Consider the following 19,774-nt stretch of genomic DNA (forward strand, 5'->3'; position numbering starts at 1 on the left):
CATCTTTACATGAGCATGTGAGTAATGACATCTATTAAACATGAAATCATCTGTTTCAGAAGAAAAATTATCAACACATAAAATTTTTTGAACATCTCATTCTATTTTGAAAAAAAGAATCATTCTTTTTGTTTAGGCCTCCCTTACATAGATAATATTAAAAGGCAAACAACAATGTACTATTGATGAGTATACATGTTACTTATTATTATTGAAATAAAGGAAATGTACAAACTTTAACCCTTTATTCGTATGACTTATCTTCTTGCACATTTTAATTTTAGTATCATTTTTCTATTTATTTGGTGGTCATAACTATTTGTCATAAGTAAGAATGTTCATAGCATCATTAATACAATATAAATATTTGAGCTTTCTTCATCTATCCTTGCCCTCCTTCTTATCTAGAAATTGTCCATTAGTAAAATTACTAGACAAAATTAATAACTGGTAAAAATCATAACTCACAAGTACTACAGAAGCTCTTGAGAACCTCAGTTATTAGCTGTGTACCAGAAACCATTAGGAAATGGGATAAATAAGCAAGGCTGATGAATTTACACAGTCCCTAACACCTGCCCACCATGGCGTCATTCTCTCTCTCTCTCTCTCTCTCTCTCTCTCTCTGTCTCTCTCTCTCTCTCCGTCTCTCTCTCTCTCCCTCAACCCCCTACAAAGAAATAATACAGGAAAAAAAGGGTGAATAACATTGCTATCATGGTAAACGTGAATCCAGTCTATTTTACTGAAAAATAATTTTTAAACTGTAGTACCAGATTTATTATTAGTAACACATTACTCGTGACACCCACATATGATCAACAGTCACCAGGTTGTTGAATACTACCGTGGAGAGGAACTACTAGAAGCCATGTGAAGCCACTGGAATGTCGAAAGCAAGAGCGAGGCATGGTCAGAGTTATAGCTTGGACCTGTCTCTCTGGAGTCAGATAGAAGATGGGATAAAGATGTTTTGGGAGAAGTCTTTAGCAAGCTGTCACAAAACTCAGGAAAGATATGATGAGGATCTGCCCAGTGTCAGGCGATGGAAAACAGCCTCATTCTGGCTGAGCCCTTCCACGGCGAGGCTCTATGAGTGTCTACACTTGACAGTCGAGTTCCTTGAAAGAGGCAAGCAAGACGAGCTGACCAAGATAATTCTCTGCTTTTCATGTCCCTCTGCTTTTGAGAAAGGCCATATTACCCTGACTAATAAAGCAGGAATTACCTATTAGAGAAGGACTCACAATTAGATTTTGAAGCCCCAACACTCAATAACAAGAGCTGAAAATCTAAATAAAATTTGCAGGTACAAGGGTTTGTCTGGATTTAGAAAAAAGTTAGATTCTACACAGTTTGACTTTTACTCCTAGGTTACCATCCATTCCATTAAAATATGTTTATACCATCAGGTGCAAAGTTCTTCACTTATCTAGAGACAGAAATATCATATATTTCTTTAATATAATCCCCCCTGTTCCCCAACCTTGCCACCACGGAACTGTCAGTTTTGACTCATGAAAGAACTTTACGTAACTGCCAGATAAAAGACAAATTCAGATGTGCATGGCAAAACATTATCTGGGATGCACCAAAATTCTACCTTTGAAGGGCCAGGAAGAGTCCAAAAGTATGTTAAACTGGCTAAAAGGAAATGTGTCTGGTGAAAATATTTCAATGGATATGACTCCAGAATCAGACTCCTGGATGAAAAACAGACCCCTTCTTCTACTGCTCAGTGGCCTCTGGCAGGTTTAGCTGTGCTGCAGTCTGTTCATCCACAATATTAGACAATGAAAAAGGTTCCTGTATCATCAGGTTGTAGGAAAATTAGATGAGACTCCTGGAAAGTCCATAATTGAGTGCCTGGTGGAGACAAAGCAATCGGGATGGTGGTGGAAGGAAGGTGGTGATGATGCTGCGACTCTGTGCACCCCAGAAAGTAAGCCATGACAGTGTGACGGGCACACCAGATGTGTTGTTGTTGTTGTTAAGAAAGCAATCCCTTACTGACCAAACCAGTAGGCATTATGCCATACAGCTAGCAACGTATACATGCAAAAAAACAAATAAGAAAACCAAACAATCCCCAAATGAGAAGACCCCTCAACAGAAAGAGTCCGGAAAAAGAGAGGGAGAGGCACATGAGCACGCACATCATACACTGCAACAGAGTTGGGGAGGAGAAAATAATTGAGTAAAACCCTGTTGTTCTTGCACTTCGCTATTTTTAGGATGAGAGATTTCTGAGGATTTCCTGATCATCTCACAAATAAAGTGTTATCTTCAGAAGGCTTTCAAGGTCCCAGACAGATGGAAAATTCACAAGACCTGGCTCATAATCAATTTAAAGGGGGTAGGCTCTGGCTACCAATTATTACTGGAAGAGAAAATTAGATTATTTTTCAGGGTAAATATCCAGGTACTTATTGTTTCCTAAGAGGAGAGGGGAGATGAGAAGACCCAAAAGTGCACACAGAAGAAAACACACCATGTGAATCCCAAAGGGAGATTTTTAGATGTGGAACTAAAGAATCATAACATAACTCAATAAGCAAAACAGCTGATTAGGTGATAATTGTGTCGAATCAACAGCTCACGGCTCAACAGATTAAACTCAAATGACACATATTCCTAAGGATATTTATGGGAAACTAAATCATCTAAGATAAAGATTCCCAAATTACTTACACCAGAATAGAAAATCTTACAAACACCAATGCCAAATTTCATGCTAACATTCAATACATTTTTAGAAATTTCAGAAATAACAGATTGCAACAACAAATGTGTTTGCTCCAAGCAAGTGAAATCCTGCTACCTCCACCAGCTAAGACAGTGACATGGCAGTTTCAAATTTATTGAGAGAGAGGCTCAGGATGAAACTGTAACTGATAATCAAGACAATAATTTTCCTATGGAGGTATGCCTCAACTTATTTCTTTTTTTAAATCAGCCATGCTAAACCCTTTAAGAAAAGTATAGAAGATAATCCTAGACCAGCCTCTTTATAATATCATACCAATCAAACGCTTTACCTAGACTCTTTCTTACCACATCCTTGAGAACTAGAAAAATATGTATTGAAAAACATTTTTTTGTATTCAAAATCTTCCTGCTGTCTATTCTGCATTCTATAGCAAGAAATCTACCAGCAGACCACAACCCTCCTTCCCAGGCCTGGCCCTGCATGCAAAACCACGGAGGGTCCAGTACATCATTATTGCTCAGCTTTGGAAGAACAAAGTTAGAATTTAATATTTAACAGTTTTGCTATTTTGAGTTTTGACATCACCTACTAAGGACTAATTGAGCAGGGAAGTCATGTCAAGATGCATGACTCATTTTATATCAACACATCAACAACGTACAATTTCCAATGGACTTATATTAGAAACAATTTCAGTATCACAAAAATACATACATGTGCATCTGCCACAAATGGTAAATATGAAGATAAGAGGTGTGTGATTTATAGAAACAACTGAACAAGAGTCTTAGAAAACACAGTGTCAAGACATGTGGGATATCTTCAAGTTGCTTTGTCATAAAGAAGCATTATTAAATGTGGTATAAACCCAAAAAAAAAACAACAGCTAAAGTCTAAATAGCAACTTTTGCCATTGAATATGATTCATCTTCGTTTCATTTGAGTTTGGGTGCTGCTGAAAGGACACCTCAGGAGCTTTCCCTCTCTGATGCAGGAGGACTGAGTCTAACTGGAGGTGCCTGGGCAGTGTGCTCACAGGCACTGGGATGCTGAAGATAGTTTCCCATCAAACGATTCATCTGACAGTTTTCTTCTTCCCCAAACAAAGAGAAGTCAACAGCTTAAACACAGATTTCAGGACTCACCCACATTATCCACGTCCCAACAAGCAAAGGTAACGTATTTCCAGATGATTGGCAGGTCCATATTCCATGTTCCAAGTGAGACAAGAAGGGTGAGCAAAAAAGAGAGAGAAAAAAATACTTTAGACATTGTTCAACAACTGATGCTACCTTATCCCATTCTGAGCACGAGAATGACACTTCCCTCCTTTCTAGAAGCCACCCCACTGCCAATACAGTGGGAGTTAAGGAGAAAGTTTCTGTAGAAAAACAGGGTAGATAATTCATGAGACATCCAAAGTGATCTCTCATGAACATTTTCATTAACAGATGCAAATAAGAGATATACACCCAAACCACATTTGAATATGCAATAGATGTTTCCAGAAAGATAACAGGAAAGATTTGTATAAACATACAGGATCATAAAAATAAAACAAGTCTGGACTAGAATGGGGATGGGGGGACTTCTGCAAGGTATAGACTTAGGCTGACTCAAAATAATAATCAGAAAATCTAGTATAAAGTGATTTACACATTCCAACAAGCATTTGACTAAAACAATTCTAATTACACACTCACAAAGAATATAAATTATAACCCAGTTTAGTTGTGCTACCAGTCAGAACCACAGAATAGAATTTGCATTCTTCAAAGAAGATACCAAAAAGAAATAAGTTATTATTATCTTTTTATAGAGGCCCAGGAAAAATAATTAACATGTCATTAAATTTCTAGGATGCATTGTTTTTTAATCTTACAAACCATGATAATTGCTCTATCAGGGAAGAAATTTTGCAGCATAAAATCACATAGAACATATTGTCAAGTAGATGGAACTCCCAAACTGAGCTTTCATGTAAAATAGCTCATCTGTCATAAGCTTTCCACATGAGCAGTCACCTTGGAAAACCAGGCTTTGTCAAGGTCATGCTGGAGGAATTCTGTGATCCTCAGGTCCACTCAGGCCTCCTGGGCCTCTTTCTTACAGATGTACACTACTAATCAGTTCCATCAAATGCTACTGTCAACTCAAAATAACTGAAAGCAGGGTCTCAAAGAAATATTTGCATGCACATGTACACAGTAGAATTATTTGTAATAGTCAAAAGGCAGAAACTACACGTGTCCATTGATGGATGAATGGACAAACAAAATGTGGTATGTACGTACAATGGAGTATTACTCAGCCTTCAAAAGGAAGGACATACTGACACATGCCACAGAATGGATGAAGCTTGAAGACACTATGCTAAGTGAAACAAGTCAGACACTTACATGAGGTATACAGAGTAGTAAAATTCATACAGACAGAAAGTGGAATGGTGGTTGCCAGAGGCTGTGGGAAAGGAAAATGGAGAGCTGTTGGTTAATGTGTAGAGTTTCAGTTTCGCAAGATGAAGTGAGTTCTGGAGATTAGTTGTAAAACAACATACACTAATGAGGCCGAGACTATTTATTTTGAACTTTTATGACATGCATACCAAGAAAAGCTTCATTAGAGAGTAGCACAATAAATAAAATTTGGCCAGGTGCAGTGGCTCACGCCTGTAATCCCAACATTTTAGGAGGCTGAGGTGGGAGGATCACATGAGCCCAGGAGTTTGAGACCAGCCTGAGCAACATAGTGAGACACTGTCTCTACAAAAAATTTTTAAAAATTAGCCAGGCATGGTGGTGTGCACCTGTAGTACACCTGTACTTTAGTAGAGACAGGGTACTTCTTATACTCGGGAAGCTGATGTGTGAGGATCACTTGAGCCCAGGATTTTGAGGCTGCAGTGAGCCATGATCACACCACTGTACTCCTGCCTGGGTGACAAAGAAAAAGCCTGTATCTAAAACAAATAAATAAATTGTTAAGTTCTCAATCCATAAAAATATATACACATGTAATTCTACCGAACTGTACACTTAAAATAGTTAAGATGGTAAATTTTATGACACTTGTATTTTGCCACAATTAGGGCAAAAAAAAAAAAAACCACTACTATCAGAATGGTTTTGGAACTATTTGGCCACCCTGTGTAGACCCAATCTTGAAAGGAAAGCATGAATGGAAGTCAACAGTTGGTGTAAAGTGTTAAAAGACTGCAATTTGTAATAGAATAAAAAGCTGCCTAGCATTAATTCAAGAAATTTTGTCTTATTCTCAGCAGATAGTAGGATGAGAGTAGTTGCCTAAAAGACACTGGAAGAAATCATGACAGAAATGCCTACCAAGACCAGAGATGGGCGGGGATGTCCCCACTCATTCCACAGCCTCAGGGGATCTGTCCTTGCCTGTGGCATCCCGTTCTATGCGAATCCTGGAAAAGCGTCCATGCCAGGTGTTCTTGATGTCCTTTGAATATTTTAAAAGTTTAACAACTTGAGCTTCAGATAGCATTTTGTTTCTTAACCTACTCTCCTTAGTCCTGATAATGAATGGTGAATGTTCATCTCACTGCAGATATGCAGACTGTATTTGTATTGGCCGAAGAGAACCCAGGAAGAGCACAGTTAATCCTCTCTTGTAATTAACTATTTTTACTTGCTAAAGATGCAGAAAAAAAGGAATATATTGGTGCATAAATGAGTTACTGTCATGGAGGTAAGCATAAATATCTGTTTTCAAACACATTTTTGTTTTGTTTTTTGAGACGGAGTCTCATTCTGTTGCCCAGACTAGAGTGCAGTGGCACAATCTTGGCTCACTGTAATCTCCGCCTCCAGGGTTCAAGCAATTCTCATGCCTCAGTCTCCTGAGTAGCTGGGACTACAGGTGTGCACCACCACATCCAGCTAATTTTTGTATTTTTAGTAGAGACGAGGTTTCACCATGTTGGCCAGGCTGGTCTCAAACTCATGACCTCAGGTGATTATCCGCCTCAGCCTCCCAAAGTGCTAGGATTACAGGCATGAGCCACTGTGCCCAGCATGTTTCCAAACAACTTCTGCCTGTACATTTCATCACTAGTCCCTGGCATCCATGGGTCTCTTTTATGGTGAGTTGATCTTTGAGTGAGAGGACACACTTGCAGAGAGGAGGGACTTAGGGAGTATGAGGTAGGAGTTCAGTCATCTCTTAAGGAAGTGAGTGACCTTGACCAAGCCACTAGACATTTGTTTTCTTGAGGGAAGAAATAATAAATGTCCTGGCTTTTTTATAGAGTTACAGTAACAAAAATGATGCCCATAAAAGACCTTTGAGAAACACAAAGCCGTGTCAATTCAGAGTGAACTTTCGAACATCTCCAACTGTTGCCTGCCTCTTGGCAGTAATGCTCAGTTCCTTCTCAGGAGACGAGGAATGTCCAAATGCGACAAGGTATGCTATAGTCTCAACCTAAATTCCTAGCCCTATTTCCCGTTATCCCCATCAGTCACCCTATTGACCCCTCCAACCAAACAAAGGCCCATGGGTTTAGGGTAGATGATTCTTGAAGTAGGAGCCAGGGACTGGGAAGTCCCTAAGATCCTTTCAGGGACCCGTGAGGTCAAAGCCACTTTCCTGGTTATACTGAGACCTTATTTGCCTTTTCACTTTCATTCTCCCATAAGCTTAGAGTAGAAATTTCTACAAGCTACATGATGTGTGATATCTCACCCTCAGTTTCTAATGCAGGAGTAGACATGAGAATCCATTCTCTTCTGCTAAGCTAGGCATTAAATAAATTTGCAATGACAGCCTTTACCCGAAGCTATTTTTGTTTTGGGAAACACAGTTAACCTTCATAAAAATATTTATGTTAACATGAAATGGATTTATTATTGTTATTTTTAAGTGAATTAAAAATAAATATCAAAAACGTTCTCAGTTGTAATTTCTGAGGCAGTAAATATCAATAGATAACATGTATAAAAAGTTCTTTGCAGTTTTCAGTTATCTTTGAGGATGTATAGAGGTCCTGAGACCAAAACAGTTGAGAACTAATAATCTAGAACACACAGCAGAAGGGCAAATGATACAAGATGAGGCTGCAGAAATGGATGGGAGCAAACCATGTGGCCAAGGGAAGAATTCTGGTCTTTACCCAAGAGCAATGTTGGAATAGTCCACAGGTGTAGGAGGCTAGAATTATAGTCCCTTTCTCTGTATGCAATAGTTGTACAGAATTATTAATTGTTCACCTTACTTTTCCACCACTTTGATCCATAAATCTTCATCACCTTATAATGAATCTCAGAATTATTTTCAAAATGAATAACTTCCCTTACATGATCAGATGCATATCTGAATTGTACTTGCCTTTAAAACCCAAGTTTCTGCTTGATTCATGGAAAATGTTTATAGATGAGCTTCTTTTGTCTCCCAATACCTCCTACATTCAAGTAGAATCAGAATTAGTGTCTCATTCCTGCTCTGGAGTCTCTCCGCAAAGCAGGAGGAAATGGAGCCATGCTCATGGCCACTTCTACAAGAGATGGGTTTTTCTAACCTCATGAAGGCCTTCTCTGCTGCTTTAGAAATCCTCTTTGTGCTCCCTCATTGGCTCTTTTGTACCTCTGCCCTCTGAAGTTGTTGCAAACTTTATCCATTCTCAAACCCCTTCTGTACTCCCCTGATTCTTAGGAAAAAACCCCACTTCCAGCTTCACTGAGAAACCAGAGGCAGGAAACTCTGGAGTTAACATTAATGCGCTATGATTACGAAATGTGTGAGTTGTAACTTTAGTGTCAGCAAGATAAAAATAATTATTTTAATATGCAGTTTCCAGGAATAAATAGTAACTAAAAGCATGATTATGATTTTAATAAAAAGAAAATAATTATACATTAGTAAAATCAGTGAGAAAAGACAAATCTGTAGCTATGTCAGGGTCAGGTTATGTGTATGAAGAGAGTATGAACATGGCCAGGGGACAAGGCTAGTTACTGCAAAAATTTTATTTAAGTACATTCTCCAGAGACACCTGCTAGAACATAGCTAACTGAGTGGACAGTCTGTACCCTAAAGGAAGCAACCAATAAGGTGTTAGAACCTCCCATCAAGACTAAGATGGTTAAACATCAAGAGAAAAGAACTGAGCTTTAAAAATGCTAAAGATATCAGAGAAAAAAAAAGCACAAAATTGAAATTCTCAGTGTATCTAATTCAGACTTTTTTTTTAAACTGCTTCTTATATTTTCCTTTTTCTTCTCCTTTTTTTTGAGAAGCATGGAGCAAGGAGAGAAACTGTGATTTCACAGAGGTAGTCTGTCTTTTATGAATCGACTTTGGCTTGGGTGAGTGACTCACCCTCTGTGAACCTTGGTTTTATCTCTTTATTTTAATTTTTAATTTTTGTGGGTACATAGAAGATGTACACATTTACTGGGTATATGAGATGTTTTGATACATGGGGGAGGTGGGGATGGCTAATGGGTACAAAAAAACTACTTAGAATGAGTAAGACCTACTATTTGAGAACACTAGAAGGTGACTATACAAAAATAACATCACCGTACATTCGAAAATAAAGAGTGTGATTGTTTTTATCTCTTAACATTAGATACTCCAGAAGTTGTGGGAAAGGCCAGAAATGAAGATATTTCCAGCCCTCAGGGCAGAATATTGGCACATAGTAGGCCCTCAGTAAATGGTAGTTCTTTTTCTCTGTCTCTTCTTTTTCTTCTGTCACAATAAGTCACCCAAAAGCTGTTTTCCTTTTAGGTAACTGTGATCTATATGCATACAAAAAGAAAATTTTTAACACAGAGAGAGAAACAGAAAGAGAGCATGGCTTCTTAGTACTCCTTTTTTCTTGAAGGACAACCCCTATCTGTATCATGAAATCCCACCTTTCACAGGCCTGAAATCCCCTCCAACTGGGAAGTCCTAGTTCTGTGCCCTCAGGTTCTCCTCCAGAACCTCAACCCTTCCTTCTGGGGGTCTTCCAGAAGGAAGGTCTTCTGTTCTCTTCTGGTTTCCCTGGATTTCTCCAGGTGCTACTCCTTTCATTCTCAGCAATCTCCCTTGGTAATCTCATGGGTTTTGCAGGAGGATTATAGTTGCCTTCCACAAAAATATAGAACAATGACAGCACCACCCTTCCCTCACCTCTCCCAAATTCAGCTGTTACCCCGGCTCCTGCACAGCCCGCCCGTGAATCACTCCAACTGTTCTACATCTCAAGCCCACTACGTGTATGCCTGCTGCACTCTTTCTCCATTTTCCAGCACTCAACATTGCCTGACCCCCACAACCCTACTTTTCCTTCAAGTCCAGGGTGAACTCAGCCTCCCTTGTGAATCCTTCCCAGTCTCCCAGTCAAAATCAACTGCTTCCTCTTTGATGATTCCCCAGAACTGGAGCGATCACTAAAAAAATGCACCTAAAGTGTTTTTATGATGCAATACAAGTGTTTTTATTATGCAATATTATATATATTATATCCATATGCATACATATTATATAAATAATATTGCATAATAAACTCCTTAGGTTTTTATTTTTTCAAAATTCCAAACAACTGCTTAAAATACATATACATATGTAAGAGATGAAGCATAATAACAAAATGAACACCTGTGAACTCTCACTTAACAATGAGAACGTCACCAATGTGGTTGCCTCTACTCTGCAGTCCTCCTGCCTTCCTACACATTTTTCTAAACAATATTGTTATGTTTTTCAGTTTCTTAGCCTTATAAAAATGCTATTATATCATGTAATCTTCTGCAATGTAAAAAAATCAACAATATTAAAGATTCATCATGTGGTTGGTTGATAGCTATGGTTCATTTTTGTGGTTGTATGGTATCTCATTTAGTGAACATGCCATACTTCAGTTATCTTCTCTTGTCCATAGACATTTGTGTTGTTTCCAATTTCTTGCTATTATGGAGAATTTTGAAACATTTCTTGTGTATACGTGCAAGAGTTTATCTATAATATATAATGAAATGCAAAACTCCTGTGTTGGACAGTATGCATATCTTTAAAAGATAATGCCTAACTGTTTTTCAATATTATTGTATCAATTTACCTTCTTCCCTCCAGTGATGTATAAGATTTGGTATTTTCATAAAATTCTCTTTCACCATTCATCATTATCACACTTTATATTGTTTTTATATACTGGCCTCCCTATAAAATGATAGCACCATATTTTATTCACATTTAAATTCTCATAGTGTAACAGTACCTTGCTTATAAAAGATGATAAATGAATATCAAACTGAAGAAAATACAACAACCTGTATTTGATTTGAGTTACAAGTCATTCTATTATTATTATTTTTTTTTTTTTTTTGAGACGGAGTCTCACTCTGTCGCCCAGGCTGGAGTGCAGTGGTGCCATCTCCGCTCACTGCAAGCTCCGCCTCCCAGGTTCACGCCATTCTCCTGCCTCAGCCTCCCAAGCAGCTGGGACCACAGGCGCCAGCCACCACACCCGGCTAATTTTTTGTATTTTTAGTAGAGACGGGGTTTCACCGTTTTAGCCGGGATGGTCTCGATCTCCTGACCTCGCGATCCGCCCGCCTCGGCCTCCCAAAGTGCTGGGATTACAGGCGTGAGCCACCGCGCCCGGCCCAAGTCATTCTATTTTTTAAACGCAAATAACAAGGAAGGATTATAGGGTCAGCAATCCTTTCTGCAAATATAATTAATTCAATCACACTAATTTCCTATCTATTACTTGATCAGAAGAACAAAAAAATGTAGTTTTATTTGAGAAAGAGAATGTAATAAATTTGGAGCAAGGAGTATATTTTGGAAAGTAAGAAAGCCTAACTATGAGCAAAACAGTTTGACTTAGGATAGTATGTCCAAAGAAATGGGCACTAGAAGACAGATGAGGGATTCAAGAAGGAAGTTGCAAAGCACTATATACTCATCCAAAATTTTTCACAGTAGGCTATCCATCTAGGGAGGTACCATTTGGCTTCCTGTTCCAAGGTCCCATAAGTAATATTAATACTGCAGTTCCAAAATCTGTTCATAACATAGGTTTAATATAGTTGTCTGGACTAGCCTGGAAACCTAAACACAATTTTTAATCTCTTCTCTCCGGGCAAATAATTCAAAATTCCAAACAACTACTTACAAATACACTTTTCAAAAAATGACTCAGCTGTAAAATGGGGAAGGCCTATATTCAGAAAGTAGGTCTCTGCCTTTTATCACTCTAGTCTTTTCACCCTAAGGCTAAAAAAGCCAGAGACTGAAGAAAAGAAGCATTCCTATGCTCTTAGAAACAAAATCTACAACATTCATAAACTACTCTTTGATCATTGCTTGTCTTCTGCTTTGAAAAATATTCAGAAAGAGAGTGCCAATACCTCCCAAAATATGAGATAAACATGCATTCCTTATGCGGGAAATGTAAAAAAGTTAATGTAAGACCATGGACTAAAGAAGGAGAATAGCTTAGCGACATTGCTCAACCTACGTCTAAAGAGCACACAGAACTGAGACCAAGTTTCTCCCCACGGGATTTCAGTGGAAAAACAAAAGGCTTCTAAACATTTGGAGGTCATTGACCTTGGCTTCCCCACATCTTTGATGCTCCTTCTCATATCATGTGCAAACTGATACTTTAGTAGGTCATTGGTGAAAAACAAATTTCTGAATTCAATGTGTATCTTTGTGAACAGACGAAAGTCAATGAAAAGTGGTAAAAAAAAACTACACCATAAATCTCCAACAAGCAACCCCATACGGACAAATTCATCTTGTCTCTACAACAGCAAAACCATCCCACCATCAAAAAAATAATGTGTTTAGAACAGAACTTGGTATTTTCAGCCCTAGTAGAATGCATGTGCTCACAAACATCCTGTTTGGTGTTAAAGTTGTAATAGGTTCCTATTGAACCTCTCTCTGCAACTTCAATATACAGTTTGATTACACCTTTAACACCAAACAGGGTATTTGCTGTTAAATAAGATATGTTTAAAATATTACCCTAGTTAACTCAGCCACTAAAACTTTTTTGAAAATACAATTATTATGTGTTCTATTTTACAACACCACACTGTAATGATTTGTATCTACTGAACCCCTACTGTGTGATGTATGTATAATACAAGGACAACTCCACAAGAATGGGGCTCTTGACTATTAAGAGAGGTTGGGGTGGGGGCAGGGAAGGTGGGGGTTAGGATGAAGTTCAGAAGCAGTAGGCAGAAAAGAAGAAGAGCACATTTCACTCTGATTAGTTTTTTGTGAACACAGTGCAACTTGTTCTGTTGAGTCCCTGGTACAGAGCACTCACTTCCATCCATATGCAGCCCAGTGAAGTCTAATGTATGAAAATGGCTCTTTTCTTTTTTATGTTTTTTTTCTATTATTAATCCTTTTCCTTAGTCTTACTAACATTATACTTTTAGCCAGAGAAATAATTTTGTGGGTCAGACACTTTTTCCCATATCAACTCATTTCCAGATACAAAGTTAACTGCACCTTCCACAAAAAGCCATTCAGCCATTCATGATTCAGCTCAGCTGTTCCTTGAAGCATTATATAAGCAGGTCAGAGTCAGGCAGGAATGTGCCACTTGCGATATTCCAGCCAGGTCTAGTGGACTTTTATCTTTCTCTAGACTAACAGCTAATCAAATTTAACAAACACCCCCTTTCCTTATGCCAAATGGAGGTCAAGAGAAAGTGTTTTTAAGATATGTACTATACTTCAGCCATGTATTATTTTTTATTTATTTTAATGGGAGCCATCTAGATAAATCCTCTTGTTATGCTTTGAAAAGATTACCCAGAACCTCTTTGAATTCATCCAAATCCATGATGATGCGTAAAAGGAAAGGAAAATAATAAAATGAGATTCCAGGTAACACGGTAAACAGTGAAAGTACTGAGTTAATTCAGAAAAGCAATAGATTGTTATTAGATCAATGTGATCAATTATCCAGAGATGAAAAACTATATTACCTGAGCTAACAATAACAATATTATTATTAAAGAATTCTTTAGTATTTTTCCATAGCAAAACCTGTGTAAAGTGATATTTCCATTTTTTCATGTCGAAATTGTGTTTCAACAACCCTGAGCTAAGAAAACAATCATGAAGTGTATGCTATGTTATCAAGTTTAAAAAAAAAAGGTTTTTAATCTATGACAATGCTTCAGGATTGTAGATTTGAAAGCTGAAGCAGCTGTAACTCTATCACAAAGATGAATAAACTATCATCCAGGGAAATTAAGTGACGATGAACCCACAATCTGGAAAATGACATTGCTGCTTACTTTTCCTGAAACACACTTAGTTATGTTCTAACTGTATACTACAGAGACCAATGCTACACTTAAAGAAAAATACACGTGGAGTAACCTGAAAGGAAAGAGTATACTCATCTATTAAAGTACCAGACACAAAACAAAACGTCATGATACTTTTTCACTTAGTGAAAATATTTGGCAACTGGGTCACACATACACTTCAGCCATATTACTCACTGTTGCATTACCTAATTCTCTTCTATCTAAAATATGTTTTCAAAGGAAGCAAATAATAGCTAAGAATAGTACAAATTACTCATCCTTTATAATAATGTAGATGATGTTGTAACATGACAATATTCCCCAGGACTCATACATTTTGTGAAAGAAAGTATCTACATCATCCGATCTTTTAAAAATATGCCATCTGACCTTTTTAAAAATAAGATCTATATATTTTTAGCTTTTGATATTCCAATATCTAACTATTAGAGAAAAAGTAAGGAGTCTTTTGGGAAAGAACCCAGGTAAAGAGAAAAGGAAATCAAGGTACAAACCTTGGCGCCAAGGTTTTCTGTACTCTTAGGCCATCAAACTTTCCCCACCCATAGTCAGAGTAACCTTTCCCTATCTAATCTCTCCATATTACTCCTTTGCAATAAGATCCTTCAATGGTTCCCCATTGCCTATTTGATCAATTTTAAAATTTCTTGAGCTTACAAGTTGGTAACCCTTGTCTAAACATTTACATATGCCAGCTGGACCTCATGAGGCCACAGGTGTCAATGGTCCAGAACCTCTATTGCCTCCAGACCTCAGGGAAGCAGGAGAACACATCACTCACTTCCCGGCAGTCCTAGTGACTCTCTGCTGGGTGCTGGCCACAATGGGTTTAGTAGCATCCTTTCAGATATTTGATGTTAGGCGTCACTGTAGTGGCCAAAATCGGAGCAAGTAAAAATTGCTTAGTCTAAGTGGCTCAGAGAGGATTCAGTTTTGCAAGCAGGGGAGAGATCTCCAGTGATCCCTAAACCCAGTTGGGAGAAATCTGACTATGGTTAGAATGACTATTTTGTGAGTGGTGACTGAGTCAAAGAAGTACAGTTTTATTAAAGTTATTAAGCTGTGTAGTTACTATAATTCAGGAAACATGGGTTACATTTGTATCCACTATGAACTAAAGTGCTCTTTTAAAAACCAGATCAAAGCAGGTTCATGCCTGTAAACCCAGCACTTTGGGAGGCCAAGGCTGGAGAATTGCTTGAGCCCAGGAGTTCCAGACCAGCCTGGGAAATACAGCAAGACCTCATCTCTACAAAAGTAAGAAAAAAAATAGCGAGATATGGTGGCATGTGCCTGTGGTCTCAGCTATTCGGGAGGCTGAGGCAGGAGAATCACTTGGGCCTGGGAGGTCAAGGCTGCAGTGAGCTGTGATTGTGCCACTGCACTCCAGCCTGGGTGACAGAGCAAGACCCTGTCTCACAAAAGAAAAAAGAAAGCAGATCATCCCTGTCCATTTGAAAACATGAAAGTGTAACAGTTTTTCCTAATTATTTTGGTAATTAAATGATCAATGTAGATCACTTCAAGAATAAAAAGTATAAATTAATTTCTCATGGATTACTTTAGAATAAGCAAGGCTAAATATCTATGATAGTCATTACTTTTTCTGCTTGAATGATACAGATACAGAGGAGGTAGATCAACAAAATATTAATTTCTACTTGATTTCAAAATGCAGAAACATTTTGCAGTAGGATTATCAGGTTTATCTTCCTAACTGCATTTTGCTTTGGTTACTTTTTTTTTTAAACATGAAAAAGGGCAAAAGAAAATTACATTTAAATATACTCAGGACTAAAATTTATTTTTTAAATCATCAAAAAGTAAATAAACACAGTCAGGGCCAAGAAGGGCTTGAAACATAAATGTTGAGAGTAAAACGTGATCCATTAAATATGGACTTTCAGACTGAATTAAATGTTAACAAGGTATGCATTATATGACAAAAAGATACTGGTACACTTGTTTGGGCACTTACAATACGCTAGCCATTTTCTAAATATTATTTCTTGTTCTTACAACCACTCTGCTAGATGTGTATTACTAAGCTTGTTTTGCAGAAGAAATGAAGACTCAACAAACTTAGGTGACTTGTCGCCAGATAGCCAGCTAGTACCTACTGGTACTGAAACTGCAGCAGGGTGAGTCTAGCAGTTGCTACGCATCCCAGTATGCAGTGAGCTAAATAGTAAGGCAATCTTGCTCATTTTATATTGTATCACCATGTTTATTCTGCTCTTTAGGGTTTGCAGGCTACATGTTTTTTTTAACATTTTCATTTTGTGCATATTATTCACAAAGCAACCTAAAAAAGGCACCCAACGTTCAAAGAGACAACTATTTTAGGCAGAATGCAAATATGTTTTAATTTGTAGCAGCAACTGCTTTTAAATTGGACCTCTAGCTTCACAAAATGATCTTTGCTCCCACAGACTCCTGGTCTCCTTCTTTAGCTCTGCAGAATGCTGTGACTATTAGGGGGAAAGAAGTATGTTTTTTACTTAAAGGTGAATATGAGTCTCTGATTAAACATTTGTTTGTATTTGAATTTGTTCCTGTGAACATTCCATGTTTGTTTTTATACTGAAGGAGTTACAGAGACAGAGAGATTTGTATGGCATAATGCTGATTTTTTTTTTTTTTTTTTTTTTTTTTAGCTATCAGACCAGTAACTAAAATATTCGGTCTCACTTTTTCACTCATAAACTACAGTCACGTAGCTGACGTCATTAAATTTTTTTCATCCTGTATGTGATGCAGGGAATTCTGTTATTTCTATTTGCCAGTGAGAAAGCTGAGGCCAAGAGAGGCTTAGTAAGCTGCAGATGAGCTGGGTATGGAACAGCATTTTGATATGAATCACACACGTGTGACCAAATGTTTGCACATAGTGGATAGCCAACATCTTTTCCATTTTGTAACATATTTGTGTAAATTTTATAAATACCATGTGTCAAAATCCATACAACATAGATACAGCAGCTCTTAATCATTCAGAGCCATTCAATTTCTCATAACTCAGGAGGTTTCAGTACCTAATTCTAACACTACGTGAAAGTATCTAATTCCTAACTATTCAAAACCTCGGTACTTGATCATGCCTGTTTATTTTTCTTTTTGCTCATTCCTAGTGAGCAATGGACTATTTACAACTATTTGAGGAGGGTGAATTTATCCTCTCAATTTGAAGGCTATTGTATATTCAATAGTCTGGAAGCATTTTCATTCCTGAAATATGGAAGCTGGTCATCTTCTTATAATAATTTATTTCTTCACCTGACCCCAAATATATAGTATACACATGAGGAATGACATGGCTTTATCTTTTCATTCTTTTTTTTTTTTAAGACGGTCTTACTCTGCCACCCAGGCTGGACTGCAGTGGTGCAATCTTGGCTCACTGCAACCTCTGCCTCCCAAGTTCAAGTGATTCTCATGCCTCAGCCTCCCAAGTAACTGGGATCACAGGCATGAGCCACCACACCAGGCTAATTTTTTTATTTTTTAGTAGAGTCGGGGAGTCAGGGTTTCACCATGTTGGCCAGGCTTGCCTCTAACTCCTGGCCTCTAGTGATTCACCCATCTCAGCCTCCCAAAGCGCTGGGATTATAGGCAATGTTTTCATTTTTAATAAAAAAAAATGTATGAGACCATAAGAAATTGAATCTTCTAAAAGTATGAATAAACTTTTTTTTTAAGAAAGGGTCTTGCTCTGTCACCCAGGCTGGAGTGCAGTGGCACACAATCATAGCTCACTGCAGCCTTCAGCTCCTGGGTTCAACTGTTCCTCCTGCCTCAGCCTCTCAAGAAGCTAGGACTACAGCCCTGTGCCAACATGCCTGGCTAATTTTTAATTTTTTGTGGAGACAACATCTCAATTTGTTGCCCAGGCTGGTCTTTGGCCTCAAATGATCATCCCACCTCAGCCTCTGAAATTGTTGGGATTACAGGTGTGAGCCACGGTGTCTGGCCTCGCTCATGTATTTAGGAATGCATTCAGTACTTTATGGGCATCTTGCCCAGCATATCTCATTTTTCCTTCAGCCCAATCACTATCAGCTAGACTCTCCACATTCTATTCTACTTTTGAAATCTCTGTCTAGCTCACATGACTATAATCTCATCACTATAATGAAGAATGCCAATTTTACAGATTCTTCCAGCTACCAAGGCATAAATTATTCATGAAATTAGGCCAATGTGGGTAGAGGGTGGTTTTTGAAGTTTCCAGATAATTGCCTGTTTTTCCACTTTGTCTTGAAAGACCTCATCAAGGCCTGGCTACTTCTTCCTCATACTGACTTGACATGGGATTGGAACAACATTCTTCTCTTCTTCTGTCATAAACTCTCCTCAGATGTCTCTAGACAGTCATCCTCTCAGTGACAAGTTACCGTGGAGCCCCCACTCCGGACAAAACTTACTGGGGAATACAAAGGTGAATAGGATGAAGTCACAGCTCTCAATCAGTAAAACACACCAAAGAATAAATACATGAGAAGTGCCACGAGAGCAGAAGGAGCAAAGAGCTACAGAAGGAAAGATGAGAGAGAGAGATCTCTTCTGAGAATTATCGAGAAAAACATCACAAGGGAGGTGGTGTTTGAGTGCAGGATTTCAAGGTGAAGAAAGGGGAGGAAGGGCATTTCAGTTGAAAGAAATAGGGTGAGCGAAAGACAGAGAAATCAAACCTAAAGGCATGCATAGGAACTGGGGAGAGTTGCCATGGGTTTCCTGTTGGGGCCTCGGGAGATCTGAACACTTAGATACAGGAGAGCAAACACAGGGCTTTGAATACAAATCAAAAGGAGTTTTCACTCATACTTTAGGAAACAGAAGTGGCTTGAGGTTTGCAGCAGGGAGTGATACAACCAAAGGAGCACTGTAAAAGAACTGAACTGGAAGCAGAAGTTAGGAAGGCAGAATGAGAGTGAGCTGGGATAATTACCATAACAATCCAAGCAGGAGGTAGCAAGAGCCAGAGCCAGGACTGGTGGGGATCTGATAGAAAGGAAGTGGCAGTGGGAGTTACCACCACACCACGGGGACCCTGACGTTTCCGTGGTGTGTGTCTGTCAGGGAGCAACGTGAGAAGAGAAAGGTGTAAAAAAATGAAGACCAGGTCTCCCACACAGGTGACTCAGGACATGGTGGTCCTACGGTAAGGGAGGAAAGTATGAAATTGATGAATGAAATTTTTAAACATATTCAGTTTGAGATGACTGGGGAATAACTGGGTAAAGTATCCCCTTGCCAGTTTCAAATGTGAGACTAGATTTCTAATGAAGGCTAAGAGTTAAAATAAAGATGTGGCAATAATGCATCCAGCCAACCAACACTCTTGGTTCTAGAAAACCAGTAGCTTGTTGCCAGAGCAGCTCACCTAAAAGCCAGGTCATATTCTAGGTGTTTGATATGTTCTTCTGTTGACTTCTCACCATAAAGCATTCCTATCCCCATTTCACTGATGAGGATTTGGTGGCTCAGAGATCTTATACAATGAGCTGACTTCAGAAGGGAGGTGTCCAAGTTCTTATTCACCCTTGTTTTCCCACCACACAAAGAAATGGTAGCTTTCTCTCTCTTTTTATTTCAAAGTCCCCAATGTAAGTTCTACCATGCTTTTTTTTTTTTGTCCATTCATGTCTTTTCTCCATTCTGATCTTCATTTATGCTGCTTGACTGAAATCGCACCCAATCAGCCCCAATTATATTCAGTGCCCTTCCCCTGTCTCGTCGC

General features: G+C 38.5%; 1 protein-coding gene across 16 annotated transcripts in view, besides 1 other annotated feature; it reads right to left on the reverse strand.

Moving 5' to 3' along the window:
- EPB41L3 (erythrocyte membrane protein band 4.1 like 3) overlaps positions 1-19,774 on the reverse strand; it is a 238,278-nt gene that overhangs the window by 213,903 nt on the left and 4,601 nt on the right. Inside the window, exons 2-3 of one of the 16 annotated variants that reach the window (NM_001281535.2) lie at positions 8,063-8,135; positions 6,052-6,140 (exon numbers count right to left, since the gene is read on the reverse strand). The exons of the other annotated variants lie outside the window; for them this stretch is intronic. The gene's annotated coding sequence lies outside the window, so the exon portion shown is untranslated. The remainder of the gene's footprint in view (positions 1-6,051; positions 6,141-8,062; positions 8,136-19,774) is intronic. 16 annotated transcript variants of the gene reach the window in all.
- Positions 18,535-19,036: an enhancer, noted in NCBI's record as "NANOG hESC enhancer chr18:5624822-5625323 (GRCh37/hg19 assembly coordinates)". NCBI's record gives its function as "activates a minimal SCP1, AML or CMV promoter by ChIP-STARR-seq in naive H9 embryonic stem cells {active_cell/tissue: H9 hESC(naive)}" and the evidence as "EXISTENCE:reporter gene assay evidence [ECO:0000049][PMID:30033119]".

The sequence above is a fragment of the Homo sapiens genome, chromosome 18, assembly GCF_000001405.40.
Source record: "Homo sapiens chromosome 18, GRCh38.p14 Primary Assembly".
Lineage (NCBI taxonomy): Eukaryota > Metazoa > Chordata > Mammalia > Primates > Hominidae > Homo > Homo sapiens.